General features: G+C 53.6%; 1 protein-coding gene across 9 annotated transcripts in view, besides 9 other annotated features; it reads right to left on the bottom strand.

The window, feature by feature from the left end:
- Window positions 1,375–1,874: an enhancer, noted in NCBI's record as "H3K4me1 hESC enhancer chr3:53236717-53237216 (GRCh37/hg19 assembly coordinates)". NCBI's record gives its function as "activates a minimal SCP1, AML or CMV promoter by ChIP-STARR-seq in naive H9 embryonic stem cells {active_cell/tissue: H9 hESC(naive)}" and the evidence as "EXISTENCE:reporter gene assay evidence [ECO:0000049][PMID:30033119]".
- Window positions 8,465–8,514: a silencer, noted in NCBI's record as "silent region_14462". NCBI's record gives its function as "represses an Ori minimal core promoter by ATAC-STARR-seq in GM12878 lymphoblastoid cells {active_cell/tissue: GM12878}" and the evidence as "EXISTENCE:reporter gene assay evidence [ECO:0000049][PMID:35858748]".
- Window positions 10,108–10,402: an enhancer, noted in NCBI's record as "tiled region #8375; K562 Activating DNase unmatched - State 18:Pol2, and HepG2 Activating non-DNase unmatched - State 18:Pol2". NCBI's record gives its function as "activates a minimal TATA promoter and a strong SV40 promoter by Sharpr-MPRA in K562 cells, with weak activation in HepG2 cells {active_cell/tissue: HepG2 | K562}" and the evidence as "EXISTENCE:reporter gene assay evidence [ECO:0000049][PMID:27701403]".
- Window positions 11,858–26,010, bottom strand: part of PRKCD (protein kinase C delta) — a 31,509-nt gene continuing 17,356 nt past the window's right edge. For 8 of the 9 annotated variants that reach the window (NM_001354680.2, NM_006254.4, NM_001354679.2 and 5 more), the window contains 16 exons: window positions 24,799–24,998; window positions 23,308–23,368; window positions 22,969–23,131; window positions 22,843–22,874; window positions 21,369–21,454; window positions 20,994–21,123; window positions 19,601–19,701; window positions 18,875–18,971; window positions 18,548–18,648; window positions 18,235–18,408; window positions 17,880–17,971; window positions 17,173–17,235; window positions 15,717–15,855; window positions 15,329–15,517; window positions 14,574–14,702; window positions 11,858–12,467 (listed from right to left, as the gene is read on the bottom strand). In NM_001354680.2, coding sequence (NP_001341609.1) covers window positions 12,309–12,467; window positions 14,574–14,702; window positions 15,329–15,517; window positions 15,717–15,855; window positions 17,173–17,235; window positions 17,880–17,971; window positions 18,235–18,408; window positions 18,548–18,648; window positions 18,875–18,971; window positions 19,601–19,701; window positions 20,994–21,123; window positions 21,369–21,454; window positions 22,843–22,874; window positions 22,969–23,131; window positions 23,308–23,368; window positions 24,799–24,998 — 1,916 coding nt within the window. In that variant the 3' untranslated portion in view covers window positions 11,858–12,308. Of the gene's footprint in view, window positions 12,468–14,573; window positions 14,703–15,328; window positions 15,518–15,716; window positions 15,856–17,172; window positions 17,236–17,879; window positions 17,972–18,234; window positions 18,409–18,547; window positions 18,649–18,874; window positions 18,972–19,600; window positions 19,702–20,993; window positions 21,124–21,368; window positions 21,455–22,842; window positions 22,875–22,968; window positions 23,132–23,307; window positions 23,369–24,798; window positions 24,999–26,010 lie in introns of those variants that run through there. The other variant, XR_007095706.1, reaches the window with a different exon arrangement.
- Window positions 12,270–12,529: an enhancer, noted in NCBI's record as "active region_19967". NCBI's record gives its function as "activates an Ori minimal core promoter by ATAC-STARR-seq in GM12878 lymphoblastoid cells {active_cell/tissue: GM12878}" and the evidence as "EXISTENCE:reporter gene assay evidence [ECO:0000049][PMID:35858748]".
- Window positions 13,477–13,606: an enhancer, noted in NCBI's record as "active region_19966". NCBI's record gives its function as "activates an Ori minimal core promoter by ATAC-STARR-seq in GM12878 lymphoblastoid cells {active_cell/tissue: GM12878}" and the evidence as "EXISTENCE:reporter gene assay evidence [ECO:0000049][PMID:35858748]".
- Window positions 16,013–16,092: an enhancer, noted in NCBI's record as "active region_19965". NCBI's record gives its function as "activates an Ori minimal core promoter by ATAC-STARR-seq in GM12878 lymphoblastoid cells {active_cell/tissue: GM12878}" and the evidence as "EXISTENCE:reporter gene assay evidence [ECO:0000049][PMID:35858748]".
- Window positions 16,233–16,352: an enhancer, noted in NCBI's record as "active region_19964". NCBI's record gives its function as "activates an Ori minimal core promoter by ATAC-STARR-seq in GM12878 lymphoblastoid cells {active_cell/tissue: GM12878}" and the evidence as "EXISTENCE:reporter gene assay evidence [ECO:0000049][PMID:35858748]".
- Window positions 23,194–23,353: an enhancer, noted in NCBI's record as "active region_19963". NCBI's record gives its function as "activates an Ori minimal core promoter by ATAC-STARR-seq in GM12878 lymphoblastoid cells {active_cell/tissue: GM12878}" and the evidence as "EXISTENCE:reporter gene assay evidence [ECO:0000049][PMID:35858748]".
- Window positions 23,614–23,663: an enhancer, noted in NCBI's record as "active region_19962". NCBI's record gives its function as "activates an Ori minimal core promoter by ATAC-STARR-seq in GM12878 lymphoblastoid cells {active_cell/tissue: GM12878}" and the evidence as "EXISTENCE:reporter gene assay evidence [ECO:0000049][PMID:35858748]".

Here is a 26,010-nt window from a genome sequence, read left to right as displayed (position 1 = left end):
TTTCAGGCAGGAGGGAAAATACAGTCCCCTTTTTACTCCATCTTGACTGAAAGCAAAATTCCACACCATTTATTTGGATAAATAAATTGTGGTAAATTTATGTGATGGAATGCCATTCAATCGTTAAAAGAAATGCACTTGACCAGTCCACAAAAGACCACGTATTACATGATTCCATTTACTTGTTGTTTTGAGATGCAGTCTTGCTCTGTTGCACAGGCTGGAATGCAGTGGTGCAATCTTGGCTCACTGCAACCTCTGCCTACCAGGCTCAAGCGATTCTCCTGCCTCAGCCTCCCAGGTAGCTGGGACTACAGGTGCCTGCCCACCACCGTGCCCAGCTATTTTTTCTTTTTCTTTTCTTTTTTATTTTTTTGAGATGGAGTGTTGCTCTGTGGCCCAGGCTGGAGTGCAGTGGTGCAGTCTTGGCTCACTGCAACCTCCACCTCCTGGGTTCAAGCAATTCTCCTGCCTCAGCCTCCTGATTAGCTGGGACTACAGGTACATGCCACCACACCCAACTAATTTTTGTATTTTTAGTAGAGACAGATTTTCACCACATTGACCAGCCTGGTCTCGAATTTCTGACCTCAGGTGATCCACCTGCCTTGGCCTCCCAAACTGCTGGGATTACAGGAGTGAGCCACCTCACCCAGCCTAGGGGCTGCAATTTTATCTCTACTTGTTTCTTCATCTGGAACAGAATCACTATACTTTTTTAAATGTCTGAATGTTTTCTGATATTTTTTTTCTCTTCTGAGACAGATTCCAGGCTGGAGTGCAGTGGCACGAGCTCAGCTCACTGCAACCTCCGCCTCCCGGGTTCAAGCAATTCTCTTGCCTCAGCCTCCTGAGTAGCTAGGACTACAGGCGTGCGCCACCACACCCGGCTAATTTTTGTATTTTTAGTAGAGATGAGGTTTCACCATGTTGGCCAAGCTGGTCTCAAACTCCTGACCTCGTGATCTGCCCGCCTCGGCCTCCCAAAGTGCTGGCATTACAGGCATGAGCCACCGCACCCAGCCTTTTTTTTTTTTTTTTTTTTTTTGAGAGGGTCTCACTCTGTCACCCAGGCTAGAGTGCAGTGGCGCAATCACAGCTCATTACAACCTTGACCTCCCAGGCTCGAGCGATCCTCCCGCCTCAGCTTCCCAAGCAGCTGGGACCACAGGTGGACCACCATGCCTGGCTAATTTTTTAAGAGATAGAGTCTCACTATGTTGCCTAGGCTGATCTCGAACTCCTGGGCTCAAGTGATTCTCCCACCTGGAAATCATATCACAACTCACAAAGTGCTAGGATTAGAGGAGTGAGCCACCATGTTTTCCTAATAAGACAACTTGTTAGATAAATCACTCATTTTCCCTCATGCCAGGTGCCCTTCCGTACCCTGCAGGTGCAGCACCCCGCTGAGGCCAAAAGCCCAGTGCTTTGGTTTGACTTCCCATCGCCAATGCAGAAAACCACTAGAGAGTTTAACAAACAACTTTTCCTCTTCTCTTGAAGTTTGTCTTTGGCTTCCACTGAAAAAACAACTTTCCTGCCACCCCTGCCTGTACTCCATCTCCTCCAACCTTCTAAAAGCCCCCGGAAAAGGCTGTGGAGCTGGTTGGGGAGCCATCAGTAGTACCCCTGTGGGCACAGCTGCCCCCGTGCCTCCACCGGTGGCCGCTGCTCCGCCCTCTCTCCCCAGACAGGTTGTCAAGCTGCCACTGCCACGAATTCTCCCATCAGCACAGCCACTGCCTGCCGCCTCCAACAACAACTGCCAGGCTCATTATAACCTCCACCTGCTGGCCACAGCAACCGCCTCTTAGCACACCCAGTGGCGGTGGTTAAACTACTTTATTAAACCCATCATCTCACCTCTACTGGTTCCCCCTCACTGAGAGCTCACTTTTGATCCAGCCTCACACAGGCTGAAGTGGGACTAAATTAGGCCTGGCCTCGGCAGTGCAGGTGCTGCACCAATGGCTAGCCAGAGGTGGGAGCAGAGATGCTGTTCCTCAGGGGACCGCATGTCCTTGGGCCAGGGTGCCTGGTTGTTGGGCCAGGATTCCCAGGGTCATGCACACCCCTGCCTTTGCCCAGCTCCCCGGGCTTTGCTCAGGCTGCTTCCTCTGCCTGAGACTGCCTGACCCCAGCGTCTCGCCTACTCATTCTTTCTAATTTTTAAAAACTGTGAAATGTCATATCCATAAAGAAAAGCACATAGAACAAAAGAACAGTATAACAAATTATTATAAAAGGACGCCTGGGTAACCAGCCATCAGATCAAGAGTCAGAACACCTACATATTCTTTAAAAGACACTTTAAAAAATTATGGATCATTTGGAACACAGAGACAAGCACAGAGACTAAAATAGACAACGAGCATCCTCATCTGTGTGACTCTTGAGGCCACCAAGGCTGTCCCCAGCAGAGACACTGCTGGTCTTCAGTGCCCACAGAGTGCCAAATGACTTTCCAGGAGAATGGGGCCAACTTACATTCCCACTGCTGCGAATAGTGCCTCCCCCATAACCCCGCCCTGCCCAACACCTACACCTACCACCAGCACTGGGTATTATCAGACTTGAAAAGTTTTGCCAGACTGACTGTGAGAGCTACTCATTCTTTGGGTCTCAGGATTACATGTTCCTCCTGATACAGGGCAGATGAGCCTCAAAACTGGGGCTTAGCCTCGGAGGGTTCTTGGCTTTACCCAGAAAAGAATCCAAGGCCAAGCAGTGGTGTTAGGCAGCAATTTCTTTTGTTGAGACAGAGTCTCCCTTTGTTGCCCAGGCTGGAGTGTAGTGGCACAATCTTGGCTCACTGCAACCTCTGCCTTCTGGGTTCAAATGGTTCTCCTGCCTCAGCCTCCCAAGTAGCTGGGATTACAGGTGCCCACCACCACGCCTGGCTAATTTTTGTGTTTTTGTATTTTTAATAGAGACGGGGTTTCACCATATTGGCAGGCTGGTCTTGAACTCCTGAGCTCAGGTGATCCACCCACCTCAGCCTCCCAAAGTGCTGGGATTACAGGTGTGAGCCACCGCACCTGGAGGACAGCTATTTCTATGGAAGCGGCAGCGTGCAGCAGCATGCAGCAGCAGCAGAGGCACTGCTCCTTGCAGGGCAGGGCTACCCCACAGGCACTGTGCCGTGAGTAGCCACGCAGAGGCAGTTCTGCAGTCAAATTTATACCCACTTTTAATTATATGCAAATTAAGGGGTGGATTATGCAGAAAGCTTTAGGAAAATGAGTGGTAACTTCCAGGTCGTTGGGTCATTGCCATGGAAAAGGGTGGTAACATCTGGGTGTTGCCGTGGCAACAGTAAACTGACATGGCACACCCGCGGTTGCATATTACAGAAAACTGCTTGCCCCCTCCCTGTTTTAGCTAGTCCTCAATTTGGTCCAGTGTCCGAGTCCCACATCCTACTTCACCCGCTTCCAGGAGACCTTCCCTGGTTGCCACAGCCCACCCAGGAAGAGCCAGCGCCTCTGTATGCCCACAGCCTTTGTGGGCACCCCTCGTCCCCACACCACCACGTACTGTGATCGTCTTTACGCACCTGCCTCCCAACTGAGGGCATGAGTTCTGTTCCTTGATTGCGTCAGCTTCCCACCATCCTGCAGAGCCCCCAACATGCCATCACAGAGTGAATTAATGAGTCCAGCCTTCATTTCAAGGTCAAGACCACTAATGCACTAAAGCCTCCAGTACCAGATCTGCCCTTAGTAGATGCTCAAGAAACATCAGCTCAACCTGCACATTCATGCCCCAGACGCTACCAGTAGGGGCTACATTTGGGGGTCTCCAGGTGGCTCTGCAGCTGAGCCTCTGGAATAGGCTGGGGAGGATCATGAGGGTGGAGGCAGGGAGCTCAGCATGGGCTGTAAAACCAAATGGGGGGAGAGAAGGGGGCCATGTCGCAGGTGTCAGCTGTTCTTTCTACTGCTGCTGCAACTTTCCATGGAATTTTGTGACAGTGGTAATTACCGCCTTTCCTAGGGTTTGATTTTAATTTGTGCTGAGAACTGGGGTATTTGACGTTCAAATTTTCTTTCTCGCAATTTAAACTCACATGAGGCTCACTTGCTATTCCTACCAATCTTAGACACATTTTCTGCTGTGGAGCTGGCTGCTGGCCCAAAGCCCACAGTGAGAGGAAGAGTGAAGGCCCCTGTTTCAGGGACTGGAGCCCACTGCTGACTCATGACTCAGGGCTCTGTACCCCACTCCCATGCTAGGAAAAGTGTGTCCCCTTCCCACAGAATTCCTTATGCTTACAGCATTGTTATGAAGAGATCATGTATGATGACATGCAAAATGTTCATGGAGTTAAGAATCACATTCTTACATTTCTGGGTGCTTGGCTGCAGTATGAGTTTTCCATGCATTGACCTCTTAACAACCATATACTATTATGCACATGCTGCAGATGAGGAAACTGAGGCTAAGAGAGGCTGAACAGCCTGCTCAGGGCCACACAACTGGGATGGGGCAGGCAGGTGTAGACCCAGATCTGACTCTGAGCCCTCGTCCCATGGTTTGGCCATCAGCACTGCCACCTCCTGGCACATGCCAGGCAGAGTATGCATATGGGTCCATTATAAACAGGGGCATTTGATATCAAGCAATTGACAAACGTGAGCTAGGTTTAAAGACTTTTTTTTCAAAACATACCTTTTTTTCCGGACAGGGTATTCAAGAACAATTAAGCTAACAAAATTCATTTTTGATTCAATGCAAATATTTTGTGAAGCATATTATTTTTAACATATTATTCATGCAAAGTGTGTCTAAATTGGCTTAACTGTTTCTCAACTCATGATTTACAACACAGAAAGTGGCTTGGAGAGGTCTTGCCAATGCTACTGATGGCAGTGGGCTGCCTAATGGGCTGGGTCCTCCTGCTGCTGCCTTTTTTGAGACAGAGTCTCACTCTGTCGCCCAGGCTGGAGTGCAGTGGCACGATCTTGGCTCACTGCAATCTCTGCCTCCTGGGTTCAAGGGATTCTCCTGCCTCAGCCTCCCAAGTAGCTGGGATTACAGGCGCCTGCCACCATGCCTGGCTAATTTTTTTTTTTTTTGTATTTTTAGTAGAGATGGGGTTTTGCCATATTGGCCAGGCTGGTCTCAAACTCCTGACCTCAAGTGATCTGCCCGCCTCAGCCTCCCAAAGTGCTGAGATTACAGGCATGAACCACCATGCCCAGCCACTGCCCTGCTCTTGAGCCGGGTCCCCACCCTCGGCTGGGGCGGCTGGCCTCCACCACCCACCTGCTGGAGGACATGAACTCTAAGGCCTTGGGCTTTGGTTATCTGCCACCGTTAGTGCCACAGGCAGCACTAGAGGCCACTCCTAACTTTACCTACTTCTTATCCTTGTCCCTCCTCATACCAGAGCAGGGGAGGGGAAAAGAGAATGAGAGGCAGGCTGTGCTGGGGTGAAGCGAGCACTCAGTGGACACTCGGTATTCACTCACCTGTGCTCATTCCTCAACACTGACTGGCCACACACCACGTGCTGGGCTCACTGTGGGCTTGCAGTGGGTGCAAAGGACACTGAGTCAGGATTCTGCCCTCTAGGAGGTAGCATGTTGGGGACCAGCTGGCTGTTCTCTTTGAGGGTCTCCCTGCATCCCTGCCACTACCTTCCTGTGCAACCCTGGCCCAACCCCTTCTCCTCTCTGGCCTCAGCTTCCCCACTGTGAATCCATGGATATCCTCACTACAGACCCATAATCTCCAAGGGTCCTTCCAGCTCCAAGTCAGCCTGCCTGTGCCCATCGTTGCTGCCCTCTGCTGTCCCTGCCTGCCACTGGCTCACTTCTCTCTTATTGGACCCTCTGAGGACAGGACCAGGGTAGGGAGCCCTCGTGTTCTCTGACAGTTCCTGAGCAAGCCCAGGAAAAGAAGGGAGAATGTCCTGTTGTCTCTACAGGAAACATGACAAGGGAACCAACTCGCAGATGGAAGGAGCCCCCATTCCAGAGCTGTAGGCCACATCACTCAACCTCTCAGAGCCTGGGTTTGCTCACCGGTAAAAGGAGAGAGTCCCAGCCGTTTCCTCACGGGGCTGTTGTGACGACGAACTGCAGGCAACCATGCAGGAAAAGCATCAAGCACAGTGCTTGTCCCAGGGTGTTCTGACATGGGCTCTCAGGCCACACACCATGAGTGCCAGGCACAGTCATGCCTGTTGAGTGATGCTCGTCAAGGTCCTGGCACACAGCAGCCACCTGTTCCATGAAGGAATATACAAATTTGGGAACAGAGCGCAGCACTGCCCACCCTACTCACAGCTCCTGCATCTACCACCCCAGGTGAAACTGATAGAAAGCTAAACTCCCCTCTCCTAAGAAGAAAAAGGAAAAGTACCTTCCCCAAAGCTCTGAGCTTTATCCAGTACTTAATGTGGGCTGAGCAGCAAATGTCAGGGCTTTCAGAGTTATGTATTTCAGGACAGAGACAGAGAAGAAATTAGGAGTCTTTGTATTAGTCTGTTCTCACACTGCTAATAAAGACATATCGGCCAGGTTCAGTGGCTCATGCCTGTAATCCCAGCACTTTGGGAGGCCGAGGCAGGCAGATCACCTCAGGTCAGGAATTCGAGACCAGCCTGGCCAACATAGTGAAACCCCATCTCTACTAAAAATACAAAAATTAGCCAGACGTGCTGGCAGGTGCCTGTAATCTCAGCTACTTAGGAGGCTGAGGCAGGAGAATGGCTTGAACCTGGGAGGCGGAGGTTGCAGTGAGCCAAAATTGCACCACTGCACTCCAGCCTGGGAGACAGAGCAAGACTCTGTCTCTAAATAAATAAATAAGGCCGGGCACGGTGGCTCACGCCTGTAATCCCAGCACTTTGGGAGGCCACAGCTGTAGGATCACCTGAGGTCAGGAGTTCAAGACCAGCCTGGCCAACATGGTGAAACCCCATCTCTACAAAAATACAAAAATTAGCCAGGCGTGGTGGCAGATGCCTGTAATCCCAGCTACTCAGGAGGCTGAGGCAGGAGAATCACTTGAACCTGGGAGGTGGAGGTTGCAGTGAGCCAAGATCGCGCCATCGCACTCTAGCCTTGGTGACAGAGTGAGACTCCATCTCAAAAAAATAAATAAATAAAAAATAAAATAAAATAAAGACATACCTGAGACTGGATAATTTATAAAGGAGTTTTAATTGACTCACAGTTCTGCATGGCTGGGGAGGCCTCAGGAAACTTACAATCATGGCAGAAGGTGAAGCAAACACGTCCTCCACGTGGCGGCAGCAAGGAGAAGTGCAGAGTGAAGTTGGGGGGGGCGGGGAATGTCCCTTATAAAACCATCCAATCTCGTGAGAACTCACTGTCATGAGAACAGCATGGAGGTAACCGCCCCCATGATTCAATTACCTCCCACTGGGTCTCTCCCACGATACCAGGGGATTATGGGAACTACAGTTCAGGATGAGATTTAGGTAAGGACACAGCCAAACCATATCAATCTTCTAAGCCCCACTTAAGAAGCCTGATTTAGGAACTGGCGTTCAAGTTCTGAAGACTTAAATCACTGAGGCTATGTGAAGGGCTGATTCAATCTGACGACCAGACTCAAGGAGTGCCCCAAACCTCACATGTCTGGCCTGATCTGGGCTGTGCTGACTCAGGCCTGGCTCTCACCTTTGGGGGCCTTTGTCCCCATTCCTTTCCTTTGCTGCCAGGTCTTGTATTTTCAGCTGCATGTATCTCCCCCTGCCCCAGCCTAAGGAGATAAAGTGCCTGGGAGGATGGTCAGCACTCAGGAAACCACAACCAGCTCCCCAGCCTCTGACACCACAGTCGTCCGGGATCACGTGCTGGGCACAGTCAGGGTGCAGGGGGGAGCTGAAGATCCCATCCAGCTTTGAGGGAGGCCGAGGAAGGGGCAGGTGCATGGTGAGCTCATGGGCACGGTGGCTCACGCCCGTAATCACAGCACTTTGGGAGGTCGAGGTGGGAGGATTGCTTGAGCTCAGGAATTTGAGACCAGTCTGGGTAACATGGTGAAACCCCAACTCTACCAAAAATACAAAATTAGCCAGGCAGGGTGGTACATGCCTGTGGTCCTAGCTACTCGGGAGGCTGAGGGTGGGAGGATTGCTTGACAAGCCCAGGAGGTCGAGGCTGCAGTGAGCTGTGATGGCACCACTGCACCCCAGCCTGGGTGACAGGTCAAGACCCTGTCTCTAAATAAATTAATAATAAATGGGGGAATGTGGCTGTGACGTTGGAATGGTTGAATTTAGGGCGGTCCGGAGATCCTAAAAATACCAGGGGGCTGTCTAGCTGTAACCTCCACGTCTCTGAACCTCTCCAAAATGGTCACCCAGTACCTCTTTATTGAAATATTTCCCCAGGGAGTAGTGACACGAAGTGAGAAAGCCGGCGCTCCCTTCCACGGGGGTCCTCCCCTCCTGGGGTCTGCGGCCTCAGCGCCCGCGAGCCTTCTGGCCGCCAGAGGGCGCTGTAGCCCAGCTGGGGCCGCGTGCTTTCCGCACCGTTCTTCCCTAGCCACCAACCCTCCGCCCGTGGTCCTTGCGCAGGCGGGGCGCAGGTTGTGGAGGGGATGCTCGGGCCTCTGCGGGCCAAGACTGGGCCATACAGGCAGGTGACTTCGCCTTCCAGGGTGTGGCCTGTTCAGAGTAGCATTTTCTGGCTTCACCAGGATGACTGGGCAAAATGCAGATTCCCCAACTGGCTCTGCGCAGGTGGGACCGCAGGGGCAGCTTTCAAAGTACTGATGCCCGGCCCTCCACAGATCACCGAGTAAGTAGACCAGGGCAGCCTGGCATCGGCTTCCAGTGACAGCCAGGGCTGAGACCCGCTGGTTAGAACTTGACATGGTACCAACACACGCTGAATTTGGGAGCCACTGCCTTAAAGGGACTTGGGGTCTCGGCAGTCCATTCATTCATTCATTCATTCATTCATCCATTCATTCATCCATCCATCCTTCCATCCATCCTTCATCTCTGCAGCTCTTTGCTGTGCCTGAGACCTTGGATGCCCTCACGAGCTGGCCTGTGGAACCACAGGGTAGAATCTGGCTGCATCTTTGATTCTCTCAATGTCTCTTTTTGCCGATCACTTGGCCCTGCACCACTTTCCACGCCAGGAGAGTATTTAACCAGTTCCCCGGCTGCTGGGCCTTCTGCTTGCTTCCAGTTTTTCCATTAATCCATGCAGTGGTGGGCTTCCTGGCAAGCCTTCTGGGGCCCTTGGGTGAAGTTCCCAGGTAGCTCTGCCTGAAAGGCACCACTGGGTCATGAGGCGGGTGCATTTAACCGCCCACCTGCGGTCCAGTTAGAGGACTTGCACTCGAAGTGCAGTGTGCAGTGGACAGGCCTGCTCTCCTGAGCATGTTTCATCCCACCCGGGCACGGGGTCATAGTGGCTGCTGTTTCCTATGCACCTAGTGCACGCTGAGCTCATGCCCTGCACTTAGAGACATCATCACAGTCCACGGCAGCCATCATGGTAATCCCCATTTTACAGTAGAGGAATTTAGGGCACTGGGAGGTTAAGTCATTTACTGAGGTCACACAACCAGGGACATGCACAGTTCGAACCCAGGGCTGTCTAGTAGCCGAGCTCATGCTCCTGCCTCCAGGCCCTCCTGTATCCATGCTGCTCGGCCCAGCACTGATGGGGCACCCAGCTCTGTTTGGCCCTTGCAGGGTCGGGGGTAGGCTGGCTGCTGCTCAAATACCTACTTGGCAGGTGGGAGGCAGAGGGCAGTCTGCCTGCTTCAGGGTCCCCAGGTCCTAGTGAAAGTGTGGTTCAGGGCCCAGCCTTAAGAGGCATTTCCTGAGGCTGCTGGGTCAAGCCTGGCACCCACCCAATGGCTGGGAATGGGCCTGGAATGGTGTAGCCTCCCAGGCAGTTTGGCAGTGTCCCCAGCAGCTGCTTCCTGTCCTGGGCTGCTTGAGGTGGACCTCACGGGCCCAGCCCCTGTCCTTTCCTGGGCTCTGCCTGGCACCACTGAGTAGTGGACCAACAGTCCTACAAGGGCCTGCCAGAGTCAGTTCCATGAGGCAGCAGGATTAATGGTCTGGTTTTACAGATGAGGAAACTGAGGCCCATGAAGGAACTCATCGAGTGCCTGGTATGTAGGTAGCGGAGTGGAATTCAAACCCCAGGCTTCTGATTCCAGGCACCATGTTCTTCCCACCACCCTCCACTGCCTCTGGCTGATAAACAACCTATTCCCCGGTTCCACACGGGAGGAAACGGCTCGAGTTACAAGGCTCCGCTTTGGTGCTTCAGGAGGACGCTGGGAGGCTCTGAGTTCAGACACCAACCACGTTTTTGTTCTAACCTCCCTCTGAATGGCTCCATGAGGGTTCTTGGGGAATGTGTGTGTTGTGGCAGAGGCAGGGAACAGGGGGTCTCCAGGCACCTCCTCTGGGCTCCTACAGCCCCAGTGTCCCAGAACAGAGCCTATGCCATGCTGCCAGTTCCTCCACGTGTGATCCCACAGGACAAGCACTTTCTGAGGTTTTCCCTGCTGTCCTGGACACCCAGGCTGGCCCAAGGCAGAGCAGGAATTCAAGAGGAAGGTTCCTTGAGAAGATAGGAGGTGGGGAGGAGAAGGGGACATTTGGTCTCTTTGGGGAGAGTTTGGCCCCCATCCCTGCAGCCCCCTCCCTGGGCCAGCACCAGCCCCATACCATCCCACCCTCTCCGGTTGTGGAAACTTGTACCTCAGCCCAGAAAAATGAACTTGCTGGAAGTCAGTTGCTTGGCTGCCCAGGCCAGCCAATCCGGTGCTAGGAGTGCCTCGCCCCCCTCTAGGGACAGAGGGCCAGGGCTGGACCAGAGGGGCTGAAGAGCAGGCTCTGCCTGAGACCGGTGTCCCAGACAGCAGGGCGGGAACAGAAAGAGGGAGAGGTAGCGAGGGAGGCGGAAGCAATGAAAAGCCAGGAGAGGGGGAGACATGGAAACGGTGGGGAGGAGGGCAGAGCAGACACACTGTCTCCAGCTGTGCACTCTTGGGGGGATGCCGGCACCTCCTGGTCTCCTGGAGCCATTCCTCACCTGCACGACAGGCACACTGGAGCATGTCTGTCAACCTTGGCCCAGTCACTCAGCATTTTTCCACCTTTCTCTCCCACCCTGCCTGTCTCTCCTTCCCCAGGTAGGCAAAAGCTGCTATGATATAGATTCTAGAATTTAGACACAGACTCCTCTGCGGCAAAGGCAGGGATAAATGGTAATGAGATGAGGAGTTACAGCTATGGTCTCCTTGCCTTGTCCCCATTTTAGAGGAAACTGAGCCTTTTTCTCCTTCTTTTTCTTCTTCTTCTTCTTTTTTTTTTTTTAAAGAGACAGGGTCTCGCTATGTTGTCCAGGTTGGTCTCAAACTCCTGGGCTCACACAGACCTCCCACCTCAGCCTCCCAAAGGGCTAGGATTATAGGTGTGAGCCACCACGCCCACCCAATACTGAGGCTTAAAATGATCAAGTGACGTGCCCACATCCTTTGGCTACTCTGTGATTTAAATCCAGATATGCTTGAAGCCTGAGCTGTATTTTCTTCCTCTCCCTTGTCCTCCTCCCTCATCTGGAGCCAGCCTCAAAGCCTCTGCTCATGTCTTCTACTTCTCTGCCCTTCCAGAGACAGCTACAGCTGGTCCCATCACCCCACAGAGACATCTGGGGCTCCCTGTCGCCACCCAGAAAAGCTGTCTGCCTTAGGCCCAGGGTCCTGGGGCCAGAGGAAACCCATAAATACAAACACATTTGCATGAAGGCCCAGCAGTTGGCTTCCGGGCCAGTGCTGCCAAAAGTGGGAGTGGCCACCACCAGCTTCCTGGGACAAACGTGTCCTGACAACCAGGTTGGTACTATTTGGTGTTTATTTAGACACACAAATAAACCTGGTGGTTCAAACAGCTTGTGCTCCTTTTTTTTTTTTTTTGTCATATATATATTTTTTTGAAAAAGATCAACATATCACCAGTCCCCCATGGTTTTTCTCTACTGAGCAATATATACAGCCTATTATATATATATATATGTCTATGTATATAATATATATTTTCAATAGATAACTACATTCAAGTAATGAAACACAGGATTTACAATTTCCCTCCGAAGGCAGAGGAAAAGCAGATTCACACACAGTTCACAGAGGAAGTACCATGAGAGCCCGGCCAGACGGCAGCCAAGGACGCTCTGGGGGCAGGGGCGGGGCCAGCAGCAGAAGTCACCACAGTCCCACTGGTGCTTATCGTGGGGAGCGGGCAGGTGTGGGTGGAGGGCAGGGCTAGCCTGATCTGTCCAGGAACCTCAATCTTCCAGGAGGTGCTCGAATTTGGGGTTCACAAAGGAGAAGCCAGCGAATGCAGACTGGTCCATGGAGTCGATGAGGTTCTTGTCGCTGTAGGAGAGGCGCGCCTTCTCGTTCAGGAACTCCTGGTCAAAGTTACTGTAGTCTCTGGGTGACTTCTACAAGCAGAGGGCAGGGGTGAGCGAACAGGACCTAGGGAATGGCCCTCCAGACACCCCAGGCTGGAGTCCCTGCAGGGCTGGGCCAGGCCAGAGCTGTCCTCACCCAGAACAGAAGACAGAGCCTCCCCTAGCAGCCTGAAAGGAGCCCCATGGGAAGGAGGCTGCCATTTCCCCAAGAGGATGAGGAAAGTGACCAGGGAGCTCTGGGCCTGGGTTAGGAGAGGTGGTAGCCTCTTGCTCAGAGACCACCGAATCACAGCCCAGGGAGGCTCACTTACCACCTGTTTTTGTGGGGACCACAAGCTAAGAATGGCTTTCACATTTTTAAATGGTTGGAAAAAAAATCAAAAGAAAAATATTTCATGACATGAAAATTAGGTGAAATTCAAATTTCACTTTCCATAAATAAAGCTTTTGTAATACACAACCATGCCCATTTGTTGACATACTGTCTATGCCTGCTTTGAGACCATCAAGCCTGAAAAGCCTAAAATATATACTATCAGGCTGTTTACAGGAGAAATTTGCTGATTCTCTGCTCCTGAGGATATGATGGGATGGTAATATAGAAAGACCGCAAGCTGGTGGCCCTTCAGCCAAACTGAACTGGCAAGTACAATCATTTCGGCTTGTACTGGGTTTTAATGGAATTTGAACCTATATTTTATTTATTTATTTTTATTTATTTATTCATTTAGAGATGGAGTCTCACTCTCTTGCCCAGGCTGGAGTGCAGTGGCACGATCTCGGCTCACTGCAACCTCCACCTCCTGGGTTCAAGCGATTCTCCTGCCTCAGCCTCCTGAGTAGCTGGGATTACAGGTGTGCACCACCGTACCCGGCTAATTTTTTTTGTATTTTTTGTAGTAGAGACGGGGTTTCACCATGTTGGCCAGGCTGGTCTCGAACTCCTGACCTCAGGTGATCTGCCTGCCTCAGCCTCCCAAAGTGCTGGTGTGGGCCACTGTGCCCGGCCTGAACTTATATTTTAAAATTGAGCAATGCAACCTAAAAATCCAGATTTCCAGCTTCTTTTGAAAACTGGCAGATTAAAGCAGCCCTGGGCCCACTTCCTGCCCACTCTTGGTGCTAAGAGCCCCCTGGACAGCCCCTGCCCCACTGACAAGGGGTACATCACACCTGCTTTGTGTTTCTTAGTGCGGAGAAGGAAATCTATCAAAAGTGAGACTGAAAGCAGGCTGTGTGATTTTCTTGCAGCTGGCCTAGCCTGTCAGTTACATGCTCAGCCAGGACACGTCTGAGTTTGAGGTCCCTGGTGTAGGGGAAGTGCTCTGTAGCCTCAAAGCACAAATGTGGGGCGCATTACACAGGCTGCCCAGTGGGAACTGTGTGCCCTGGTGGAGGAGGGGAATCAAAGGACAGAAGGGGAGTGGGAAGGAAGAACTGTGGTCACAGAGGGGCCACACAGCCCCAAATTTCTTAGTGGCCCCACCTGCCTCTGCTCTCAGGCTGGTTCCTTGGTAGCCCTGTAGATTCTGGGCCTGTGAGTGAACCAGCCCCTCTTCCACCTGGAATGCCTCCCAGCTGTCCCTTGTCTCACTTCTTCCAACGGGGCCTCTCAGACCCACCCTCTTCTCTGCCACCTGGGTTCCTGCTGACAGACCCACTCAATAGCAACGGATCATGTGTCCTGGGGCATCTCTTATACTGTCATCTCGTATCACAAATTGTCATAGGTGTGCAAGTTTCTTATCTCTCCAACTAGCTGAGAGCTCCTCCGGTTCTGGGACTGCATCTCCCACTTTGCTGTGCAGCCCAGCACTGTGCTCTGCATTCAACAGGGACTCAGGATTCCCCATATGTATTGGAAAATGGATTGAATGGAGCGATAAAGTGAGGTCTTAACTCTATTTCCCAAAACAGGGTCCTCTGCATACAGTGGGATCCACAGTCCCCAGTGTGTGCTGAATGACTGAGTCAGGAGGGAGAGGATGAGAATACAAGGGCAGCGGCTGTGACTGAACATGCTATGGAGATTGCTGGAAGAAGGGAGAGGTGGAAAGCGTGTGAATGATGCAGGAGAGAGGGAGGGCAGGAGAGGAGTAGCTCAGCCTGAAGGCAGCACAGGGCAGGATCACATACCACTTTGGGCCTGAAAGGTGGCTCCAACCTCCGCTTTTCCAGCAGAGTCCAGTTTATGGTCTTGAAGAAGGGGTGGATTTTGATGTTTCCGGTCACTCCCAGCCTCTTGGTTGGTTCCCTTTCAAAGAGCTGCAACCCAGCAGGGACCCTGGTTAGCACCCAAGGGCCATGGGAAATTGGAGCTTCAGCAAATCCCCAGCAGGCCCAGGGATGCAAAGCCAGGCTTGCCCCAGCCCCAGTCAGCCTGGGGAACGGTGGGGCTGAGGGAGGCCACTCTGGCCTGCAGTGCTCCCAGCTCCCCCGGAGATGACAGGCTCTGGGCTGGACATCTGCGACTCTGCTGGTGGAACTTTTTATTATTTACTATCTGCCTGGCCCACAGCTGAGCATCATATGTTTCTATTTTCTTCCCAACAACTCTGTGAGTCAAGTCTGCTCATAGCCCCATTTTACAGATAAGGAGACAAACTCTGAGAGGTTAAGTGACCAGCTAGTCCCAGGCAGAGCCAGCATTTGGCCTCGGGTCTGTCTCCTGACCCTGGGCCCTTAGTCACCATGTCAGGCTGATTCTATGCACAGGACTCAGACAGGAGTTCCTGGGAACATGGTGAGAGAGCAATACCCCGTATGTTAGGACTGCAGCACCACTGAGGCTGCCATTCCAGAGACAGGAAGCTCCTCACCCAAAGCCCAGTGTCTGCCAGCCCCTGCCCCAGCCCAGCCCAGACCAGCCCAGCCCAGCCCAGGGCCTCCACCTTCTCCAGGATGTCCTTGGACTCCTTGGTGATCCAGCGGGGATAATGTGGCGTGTCCACACGGATGGACTCGAAGAGTTCATCCTCATCATCACCATGGAAGGGGGACTGGCCAATGAGCATCTCGTACAGAAGGACCCCGAAAGACCACCAGTCCACAGAGAATGTGTACTTCAGGCCCTGTAGGATCTGGCGGTGGGGAGAGCAGCAGGTCAGCAGGAGCTGAGGTGCTGAGGCTGAGAGGGGCCCCTGGGCACGAAGCCTAGCCAGGCCGCCTCAGCCTATGGGCTTTGGCTTGGACATCACTGCCCTTGGGAATCCTTCCCTGGCCCACCGTGGGGAGGCAAGGTGCCTGACTGAGCGGGGGGCTGGAAGGGTATCGGCTCACCTCAGGGGCGATATAGTCAGGGGTGCCGCAGAAGGTGCTGGCCCGGCTCTCCCCGAATATGTTCTCTTTGCACATCCCAAAGTCGGCAATCTTGATGTGGCCATCCCGGTCCAGCAGCACATTGTCCAGTTTGAGGTCCCTAAGGACAGGGGACAGGTAAGAGTCAGCAGGGGACATTTCTTCTCCTTCCAACCCTGCCCCCCATGTCCTAATTTTCAGCCGTATTAGTCCAGGACTGTCCCCAAGGGTACAAGGGAATGAGAAACAGAAAAGGAAGCAGAAGGAGAAAGAGATCCTAAAAACAGGTGCTTCTTGCAAGTCCCCTACTGTGTGCTAAACGCTGGGCATACACTGCCCTACTTCCTGAAGCCCAAATGGGGCTCAAACAGGTGATGTCACTCGCCCAGGGTCCCCTAGCAGTCAGCAGCAGAAGTGACCCCCAGGTTCAGGTTTGTCTACTTCCCACAGGCAGAGACCATGTCTATATTTAGTAATTAGTCATTTGAGTATATACTTAATGCATATGGGAACTAGAAATGGCAAACAGTACAAAGTCTACCTTCCACTGAGCTCAATCATGAGGCTCTCCTTAGAGCAATTCTAGGCGTGGACAAGCATATGGCAGCATGCAGCTCGCTCCCACCTTTTTTTTTTTTTTTTTTTTTTTTTTTGAGACACAGTCTCATTCTGTCACACAGGCTGGAGTGCAGTGGCATGATCTCAGCTCACTGCAACCTCCGCCTCCCGGGTTCAAGCAATTCTCCTGCCTCAGCCTCCTGAGTAGCTGAGATTACAGGCATCCACCACCATGCCCAGCTAACTTTTGTATTTTTTAGTAGAGACAGGGTTTCACCATGTTGGTCAGGCTGGTCTCGAACTCCTGACCTCGGGTGATCTGCCCACCTTGGCCTCCCAAAGTGCTGGGATTACAGGCGTGAGCCATCGCGCTCAGTCTCCCTCCCACGTTTTAAAGGCTGAATGCTAATATTCGATATACACTTTCCCACAGGTTGTTTTTCCACTTAACAACATATCTTGGCATTATCCCACATCAGTATACAGAGCCTGACCTCAGCCTTTTTGGTGGGTGTACAGTTCCCACCATAGGATGGAATCATAACTTATTAGATGAGACTTTATGGAAGGAGTCCCTTCTGGCAGAAGCTTAGATGACTCGATGGGGCTTCAGAGCGAGACTGACGGCTCCAAGGATGGGTGGGGCGATGGTGTCAAATATGAGCAGTGAGTTCCTAGTTCCTGAAGCTGAGCCAGCCTCAAATGGTGGCCACAGGAATGCTAACACCAGGGTGGGAGGCATAGGCAAATACCCAGCTAAAGATTGATTTCCAGCAGAGAAGGAACTGGAGTTGGGGGGATCCTGCTTGGAGCATTTCAGAAGATATGATGGGGCTGGAGCCTCCCCTCCCAAGAGCCCCCGCTGCCCTCACCCCCGCACCTGTAAATGATGCCCTTGCTGTGTAGAAACTGCAGTCCACACATTATCTCAGCGGCATAAAACCTGGGCAAGAGAGAGGGATAAAGTGTTCCGGGATCTCTGCCGAGCAGCCTCTGCTTCTCCTCGGGCCCTCAACCCCACTTCCAGGAGCAAGAAATGCTGCAAATAACTCCATGGACCACCTGAGCATGATCAAGTACATCTTGTATCAGGCAAGTGGGGGCTGGCAGCCCAGGCAGAAAGTTCTGAAGGGAAAGCTCTCAGTGAGCCAATTCTCTAAGAGTGTATGCATTTACATGCATGTACATATGTGTTTGCATGCATGCACACACACACACACACATACACGGTTAGTTTGGGGTAAGGGGCATGTGAATGGGGAGAAGCAGGTCTGGGGGCCACGCACCAGGGTCCTGTGTCCTGTGTCATGCAGGACCACCATTTGCAAGGCTGCCCTGGCTGTGGCCCACGGAGCGGCCAGGACCCAGAGTATTTGCGCTGCGCACCCAGCCGCAGTTCACTTGCCACCCATGGCTTCCTGTGTGGTGCCGACCCAGGCTACCCCCACATCTCCCCAGTTGCCGCTCTAGCCCAGGCTGGCTTTTCTAGGGAGAGGGAAGAAGGCATGGAGGGCAGACTGGAAGTGGGCTCTGAGCCAGTAGCCCTTCCTCCACACTGGGCCCTTCCCCACCATGGCCCTTACGTACGTGGCACGGTAGAGTTCAAAGCGGCCTTTGTCCTGGATGTGGTACATCAGGTCCCCCCCGTTGAGGAACTCCATCACAAAGAACAGGTGGTCCTGGGGTGGGAAGGGTGGTGAGCAGGGGTGAGGAATAGGCAGGAGGCTCCCTCACTGAGGGCCACTGGGGCCAAGCCCCAACAGGAAACAGCAGGGACAGGCCCTGGCTGAGGTGGACGACTCTGCCCTGGGAGGCATGAGGGGGGAAAGCATGGCCCTGCCTTAAGTGGCCTGAAGGGGAGACACAGCCCTGACTGAGGGGGGCTGAGGAGCTGTGGGACATGGCTGTGGCATGGGGTGGTGACGGCAGGAGGCCCGGGCACCTTGGTCTGGAAGGTGCAGATGAGGTGGGTGAGAAAGGGATTCTCTGCGGCAAGTGTCAGCACCCGCTTCTCAACCATGGTGCACTCCACGTCGTCGTCGATCAGGACCACATCCTTCTTGAGGGCCTTGATGGCAAAGTACTCTCCTCTGCCCTTCAGCTCTCCAAGCAGCACCTGATGGGGAGACACGGGTGCTGAGCAGGTGAGGACGGGGCAGGGGCCACAGCCCGATTCACAGACTCCCACCTCAGCCACCTAAGCGGGAAGAAGCCAGGGTGGGGTGGGAAGCAGGTGCCCGGCTCACAGCCCTCACCTTCCCGAAGCTGCCTTTGCCCAGGACCTTGTGGAAGATGAAGTTGTTGATGTTGCACTTGCTGCTGCCCTCCCAGATCTTGCCGTAGGTCCCACTGTTGTCTGCCCGAGAGATGGCACCTCCTCAGATCGGGGTCTCAGTCTACACAACTCCCCTCCCCCGGGGCCTGGGGTAGGCTGGGGGAAGGGGCCTCAGAGAGGAAGGGGCTCGCTCCCCAGGACCGGTGGTTCCTTCCATGTCTCACTTGACAATGGAAGGGAGGACAGTCCCCTTTCTTTGGCCTCAGGGGGAATAAAAACCGTAATGGGGCAATGGACCCAGCTTCACCTTGCATGTCCTCCCCAGCAACTCCGGTCTTCTTCTCGAAACCCTGATATATCCCAACAGGCTCTGAGGAGGCTGAGTCTGATCTCCGGGAGGCTCTCTGGGGAGGGAGCAGAGGTGGGGGGCCAGATGGTCAGACCATTATCAGAACTCCCAGCCCAGAAGGAAGACTCCCAGGTATAACTCCACCCTTAACACCAAGAGGAGACAACAGGGGCACAGCCCAGGCCCCCTACTCGGGCTGCGTGTACACACACGCACTCTTCCAGGAGCCCAGAGAAGCCTTGGTGGTCTGAAAGGCTCTGATTACAAACAGAAGTTTTGTAAACGGAACCCTACCTTCCCAACCACTCACTCGATAGATTTTATTTGACTATTTAGCTTCATTTCTGATTGATTCTAAAATTTTACCTTTAGGTTTTGTGGCATCCCTCAAGCCCCCCCCACATACAAACGTCCACACCCAAAGTCTTAGTTCAAAGTGTTCCAACACCCACTCCTGTGGTCCCCAGGTTCACCCTCAAGTAAAGAACTGCCTGAATAATGAATTTCTTATGAAAAAAAGCCCCCCTCCCTCTGCTGCCTAAATTCTTGAGTTGCATCTTCCCGAAGTAGAGTCCTGGGTCTAAATATATCCTGGCTGTCTGTGGCTCCCCAGCAGTGGCTGTAAGCCTTGACTGTCCCTGACCCCACTGCCCTGTGTCCAGGGTCCCCATGGCACCTGCCCACCTGGGTGACTTGGTTCAAGGCCTCAGCCAAAAGCTTCTGGTTGATGCCGCAGAGGTTGGCCACCTTCTCCCGGCATTTATGGTGCACATTCATGCCGCAGTCTGGGGTGAGGGAGAAGCGGGGCTGTCAGTCTCAGAGCTCAGCCAAGGGCAGGGGGCAGTGTAGGAGAGGCGCAGGAGAGCAAGAGAAAGGAGGGCTTCAGTGGGGTCTGCTGGGTTCCAGTTTCTAGGAAAACATTGATCTGAAGCCATCATAAATACTTCGATCTCTCTCTCTCTCTCTCTTTTTTTTTTTTTTTTGAGATGGAGTTTCCCTCTTATTGCCCAGGCTGGAGTGCAGTGGCGCAATCTCGGCTCACCGCAACCTCTGCCTCCTGGGTTCAAGGGATTCTCCTGCCTCAGCCTCCTGAGTAGCTGGGATTACAGGCATGCGCCACCATATCCGGCTAATTTTGTATTTTTAGTAGAGACGGGGTTTTTCCATGTTAGCCAGGCTGGTCTCGAACTCCCCACCTCAGGTGATCCACCTGCCTCGGCCTCCCAAAGTGCTGGGATTACAGGTGTGAGCCACCACGCCCGGCCAAGCATTTCAATCTTTCATGATTTTTGTTGTTGTTGTTGTTGTTGTTGTTGTTGTTGTTGAGACGGAGTCTCACTCTGTCACCCAGGCTGGAGTACAGTGACATGATTTCGGCTCACTGCAAGCTCTGCCTCCTGGGTTCACGCCATTCTCCTGCCTCAGCCTCCCGAGCAGCTGGGACTACAGGCGCCCGCCACCACGCCAGGCTAATTTTTTTGTATTTTTTTAGTAGAGACAGGGTTTCACCATGTTAGCCAGGATGGTCTCGATCTCCTAACCTCATGATCCGCCCGCCTCGGCCTCCCAAAGTGCTGGGATTACAGACGTGAGCCACCGCGCCCAGCCAATCTTTCATGATTTAAAGAAAAAGGAAAAACCAGAAGACAGGGACCTAATTCGAAACCCTTTAAAGAACATCTGGTCAACTTAAGCCGCTTTCCCTCCAGGGTCTTCTGTCTCATCTCTAAGTGAAGCAGAGGGCAGGGGAGGCCTGTCTGGGCGCCTGTCGGTGTGCACCAGGCCTGGCTTCAGCACCCTCTGCCCACTGGCCCCTCACAGGGACTCTCTAGGTCCTGCTTTTCTCCTCCAAATGGCTCAGAGGGGTGGAGCCGCCCACCTGTGGTCACACAGCAGGTAAGTGGCAGAGCCAGTCAGGCCAGTGGGGAGGGTCCACCAAGGCCTCACCCTCATCAGGTCCCTGAATGAGGTGCCCGTCTCCAGGTGAGGAGGCGAGGGTGGCGTGAGGTGGCTGGAATTCACAGCAGCACCAGCTGGGAGTGCCCCTCCTGCAGCCCAGGGGCGGGGTGGCACGCACCTTCACACTTTAATCCCTGCTTCACCAGTCCCCAGAGCAGGCTGCCGCAGTGGTCACAGAAGGTGGGGCTCATGTAGTTGTGAACCTTGAAGCGGTGCGGCATGTCGATGTTGAAGCGTTCTTTCTGGAACTGGAGGTGGGGGTATCACAGGCTGAGGGTCACGTGCCAGCTCCAGCCTCTTCTTCAACCCCTAGCTCTCCCCCAACCCTGGGCACAACAACATCCCAAGAGAGCTCCACTGGGAGAGGCAAGGAAAGACTAAGAAAAATGGGGAGGGAGGGTAAGCTCCCCAGGGAGGGTGGGGAGAGGGTGCAAATCCCTCCCATCTGGCCAAGCCCCCCAGATCCCCAGCCCTGCCCCGGACCCAGGCTCACTATAGTGTCCCGGCTGTTGGCCGCGGTGCCAGTGCATCTGCCGATGATCTTGTCGATGCATTTCTTGTGGATGGCAGCGTTACATTCTTGAAGAGGCACAGGCCCAGGAGGGGGAAGGGAAAGCACCGGGAGGGGCAGAGTCTATGAGCTGGTGCCTGCCGACCAGTCTAGCCCTCTACACAAAGCCACCGTTCTCCTGACCGCCCACACCCTCACCCCGCAGAGGCCCAGCGCTTGAGTCTTCCTCCTGCCAGCCCTCGAAGGAGGAGCCTGGAGAGGACGGGGCGGAGAGGACAGGCCAATCTGCAGGGGCTTAGAAAGAAGGAGTCCTAGTGGGCAGGGAGGTGGGCAGAAGTTAGCGGGCACAGGGCATCGCAATATGAGAAGCGGGGGCAGTTCTTCCAAGCCCTGGGATAGCAAACGGCTCCTAAATGCCCTCTCTTACACATGCACATGGACACGCCTCAAAACAGACACCTGTACATACACACAAAGCATGTGTAATAATGATAACAGACTTCTTACACAGAGCGGCTACCAGTGGAAGGCACTTAAAATACAGCTTTACATATCTTATTCCATTTGATCTTCACAATGACCCTATTATACATTATAGTTATATCTAATTTATAGATGAGGGCCAGGCACGATGGCTCACGCCTATAATCCCAGCACTTTGGGAGGCTGAGGTGGGTGAGTCACTTGAGGTCAGGAGTTTGAGACCAGCCTGGCCAACATGACAAAGCCCCTATTCTACTAAAAATACAAAAATTAGCCGGGCATGGTGGTGCACGCCTGTAATCCCAGCTACTCAGGAGGCTAAGGCAAGAGAATCGCTTGAACCTTGGAGAGGGAGGTTACAGTGAGCTGAGATCGCACAACTGCACTCTAGCTTGGGCAACAGAATGAGACTCAGTCTCAAAAAAAAAAAAATTATAGATGAGGAAACTGAGGCACAGAGAGGTTAAGTAACTTTGCCTAAGGCCCTATAGCTAGGAAGTGGTAGAGCTGGGATTCAAACCCAGGCAGTCTGACTCCAGCCTGCGGCGCCTCGTGTATACACCCTCAGGGACAGAGTGTGCTCACACCTGTGTACTCAGAGACACCCACATCTACACAGAAGCACATGCAGCCACTATGTGCCAGTAAAGGACCTATCATTGCCTCTCCGAGGAAAAGAGGCCTGGTGCATGGCCTGGGCTGGTTTCTGCGTGAATACTCTACTGTGCCCAATTGCCATCCACCAACTCCCCGTCACTGAATGCGGAGCTGGGAAGAGATGCGCAGAACTGGTTTTCCAGAGCAGCAGCAAGCCAGCCCCAGCACTCACTGAACTCAGCTGCTGTATCTACACTGGGAAAACTCACGTGCATACACTCTCTGAGCGCACACAGGCACTGGCATACACACAGGCACTGGCACACGTGAGCACACATGGGTACATACGTACAAACTGGCCTGTGGAGACACTTACGCCTGCATTTGTAGCCTTGCTTGTTGAGGCCCCTGAAAGGCAAAACCCAGGCAAAGTGAGTGAGCGGGGACCGGGATCGGCCCCCACTACCCTGCACCACCACCAGTGGGCATGGCCGGTTCTCACCAGACAAAGTCTTTGCACACAGAACAGAAGGTGGGTTGCCCAAAGAAGGTGGCGATAAACTCATGGTTCTTGATGTAGTGGATTTTGGCCTGTTTGATGGCTCCGCGGCGGTTCATCGTTGGGAACTTGGCCTCGTCCTCACTGCGCATAGACTGTTTGCAATCTGGTGACCATGGAGTAGGGAAGTCAGCCCTGGTATCTGGAAGGGGTGGCACCCCTACAGTCCCTCCCAGGGTGGTCCTGGACAGCTCTGCCGAAGGGAGCAGCTTCCCTACACCTCAGTGCTGGCTCTGCCTCTGAACCCGGCAAGGGAGCCCTCCACCCCCAGGGAGTTCTTACCCACGTCCTCCAGGAAATACTGAACAGACATCAACACCTTGGCCTGAGGCTGCAGGTCCAGCTGTTGGGGGCCAGAGGCCAGGGGAGAACAAGGTCAGTGAGGGCAGCCTGGGCCAGGCCAAACTCAGAACCCACCCCCATGGCTGGTCCCCCAAGGCCAAGGCAGCCCCCCAAGGCCTAGCCAGACACTTGTCTGCCCAGTGTGGGCAGGGCCCCGCCTGAGCCCCACTCCTGAGCCCCACCCCCACCCTGTACCCAGGGGTATTATTACATTTAGGGAAGTGAAAGGGTCCAGCCCACACCCAGCCCAGACACATAGCTGGGGAATAGAGCGGGAAGGGAAATTCCCCACCCCTACCCGCTGCAGCTCCCTTAGCAAGGATCTTAGAATGGAGGCCCCTACCCGTGTGCACATGCGGAGAGAGACAGACACACAGACACACTCATCCTCGTGCACACACGCTGCTCCTCCCTCTGTGCCGAGGGCTCCTCATGCAGATTGGACAGTCTCGAGGGTGGGACCTGAGCCTCTATCCCCTCACCTCCCCCAAGACCTAGACCTGGTGACTGATATCCTCCCTTGGGGGAGCGGAGACAGCACAGCCAGAGGCCCCTCTGTGTCCCTGCCTGACTGGCCAAGGGTCAGTACAGCCCTGTGTTAACCTCTCTCCCATCCCAGCCCCCTCACCCCTCGCAGGAGGCTGATCAGAGCCTCCAATGGTCACAGGGCCTTTCCTGGTGGAGACATCTTGGTTACATCCCACATGTAACCCCAGGGGACTTCTGCCAGCACTGGCATCCTGTGGCCACCCAGAACACACAGCTGCACATGGCCAAGTGGCCACATGCTTGTGCAGAGTCTCCATTTCAGCAGGTAAGTAGATGAGACCGTCAGCCTCCCCTTCTCCCACCTCCTTGCTGTTAAAGATCACTATGTTGCCCCCTCAATGGCTGCCAAGGCCTAGAATATATGCGAAGATTCCAAAAAGAACTGGGATAATGGGTGCCTCTGGGAAGGAGGCCTGGTGGCCTGGTGTTGGGGCAGGGACACACCCTTTCATGCAGTTAAAAATGTTTTACTATGTGCATATCCTGCCTTTCCAAAATTAAAAAGGAAAAAGTAGTCACAATAAGGAAGTTGGCCGTCTTTAGCACCTGCTATGTGTCAGGTTCTGCAATAAGCCCTGTACATCCAGCTGCTCCTTTCATTTGAACAACTGACCCTGAGGTAGGCACATTTAGTAGCGCCTTCCCTTAACAGATGCGGAAGCAGAAGCTCAGAGAGGCTGGGAATCTGGTGAATTGCAGAGCCAGGATTCACACCCAGGACATGTTGGCCACAGGGCTGGACTGGTGGCCAGCACAGGGCCCGGTGCTCTTCAGCTGTGCTCACTGACCAAGCCCGCGTGTGTGCACGCACACACATGCACGCATGCACACACACACAGACACACACACACACACACACGGCACGGCTCGTGCGCCCCTTACCCAGAACTCAGCCTTGCCATTGTTCTTCTTGCAGCGCTCGGCCAGCACCGACACACCCACGGTCACCTCAGACACTGGCTCCTCTGCTGCCCGCATTAGCACAATCTGGATGACGCGCCCCTCATAGATGTGGGCATCGAACGTCGACTTCCACTCAGGATACATGGTCGGCTTCTTCTGCACCAGTGTTTTCCCACGCTCTGCAACAAGGCCAGGCAGAGAAGGTTGGGCCATGGCCCCTCTGTCCCTCCCTCGTAGACCTCCACGGCCTTCCCCTGGCAGAATCTGCCCGACTCTCCTGCCTTGAGGGCCTGCTGTGGTTCCCCAGTGTCCTCTAGAGCACAGAACTACCTTGGGCACCCTGCTAGGTCCTCCCTCCAGGCCTTTGTTCCTGCTGTTCCCTCTTCCTCTGATCCTCTTGCTCCAGCTCCATTTAAATGTCGCCTGCCCTTATGCATTCATGCAGGGAACATGGGCTGACAGCTCCTGCATGCCAGCCATAATATTCGAGGCGCAGAACACAGCTGAAAGAAAAGCTACATCCAGGGCCTGTCCTCCTGGATCCCCAGGCCCGGGTGGCGAATGCACCAACTCCTTCCTCAAGTAACTGTTAAGTCACAGTTGTGATGAGACTGAAGAGGGCAAGGCTGGTAGTGCTACAGGGTCAAGCCTAAGGGTCAGGGAAGATTTCCTAGAGGAAGGAACAGTTCAGCCGAGACCTGAGGGACAAATAGGGGTTCACCAGGCCAGGGCAAAAGCAAGAGGGAATGATGTGAGGTATGTGCTTCCTCCAGGAAGTCCTCCCTGACCTCAGGTTCAGAGGGTGCCTTCTCTGGGCTTCCCTATTGCAGGACTCACTGCTTTTTGACGTGCCTGGTTTCCCCACCTGACTATGAACCCCATGAGGGCAGGGCCAGGTTAGTCCTGGAGCATGACAGTATCCTCAGTGCCCCGCACAGGCCCTGGCACAAATGGACATGTAAAAATTGCTGGGTAAAACAACCAGGGAGGAGGAACCAGAAACTCCAAGCCTTCCAAGGAGGGCTCAATTTGGCCAGTGTTTGCAGCCCTATAGCGACTCAGTGGCCTCTGCCTTCATAGCTGAGTGGGGCAGGGAGTCAAGGATGAGGAAGAGCAGAATCCTTCAGAGGTTGCAGGGAACAAGGCCAGGCCCCCTCCAGTCCTTCCAGCTGGGCCCAGATTCCCAGCCCC

The sequence above is a fragment of the Homo sapiens genome, chromosome 3 (assembly GCF_000001405.40).
Source record: "Homo sapiens chromosome 3, GRCh38.p14 Primary Assembly".
In the NCBI taxonomy this organism is placed as follows: Eukaryota; Metazoa; Chordata; class Mammalia; order Primates; family Hominidae; genus Homo; species Homo sapiens.
The sequence above is the reverse complement of the archived record's forward strand: the minus strand, read 5'-3'. Positions and strand labels throughout refer to the sequence as shown.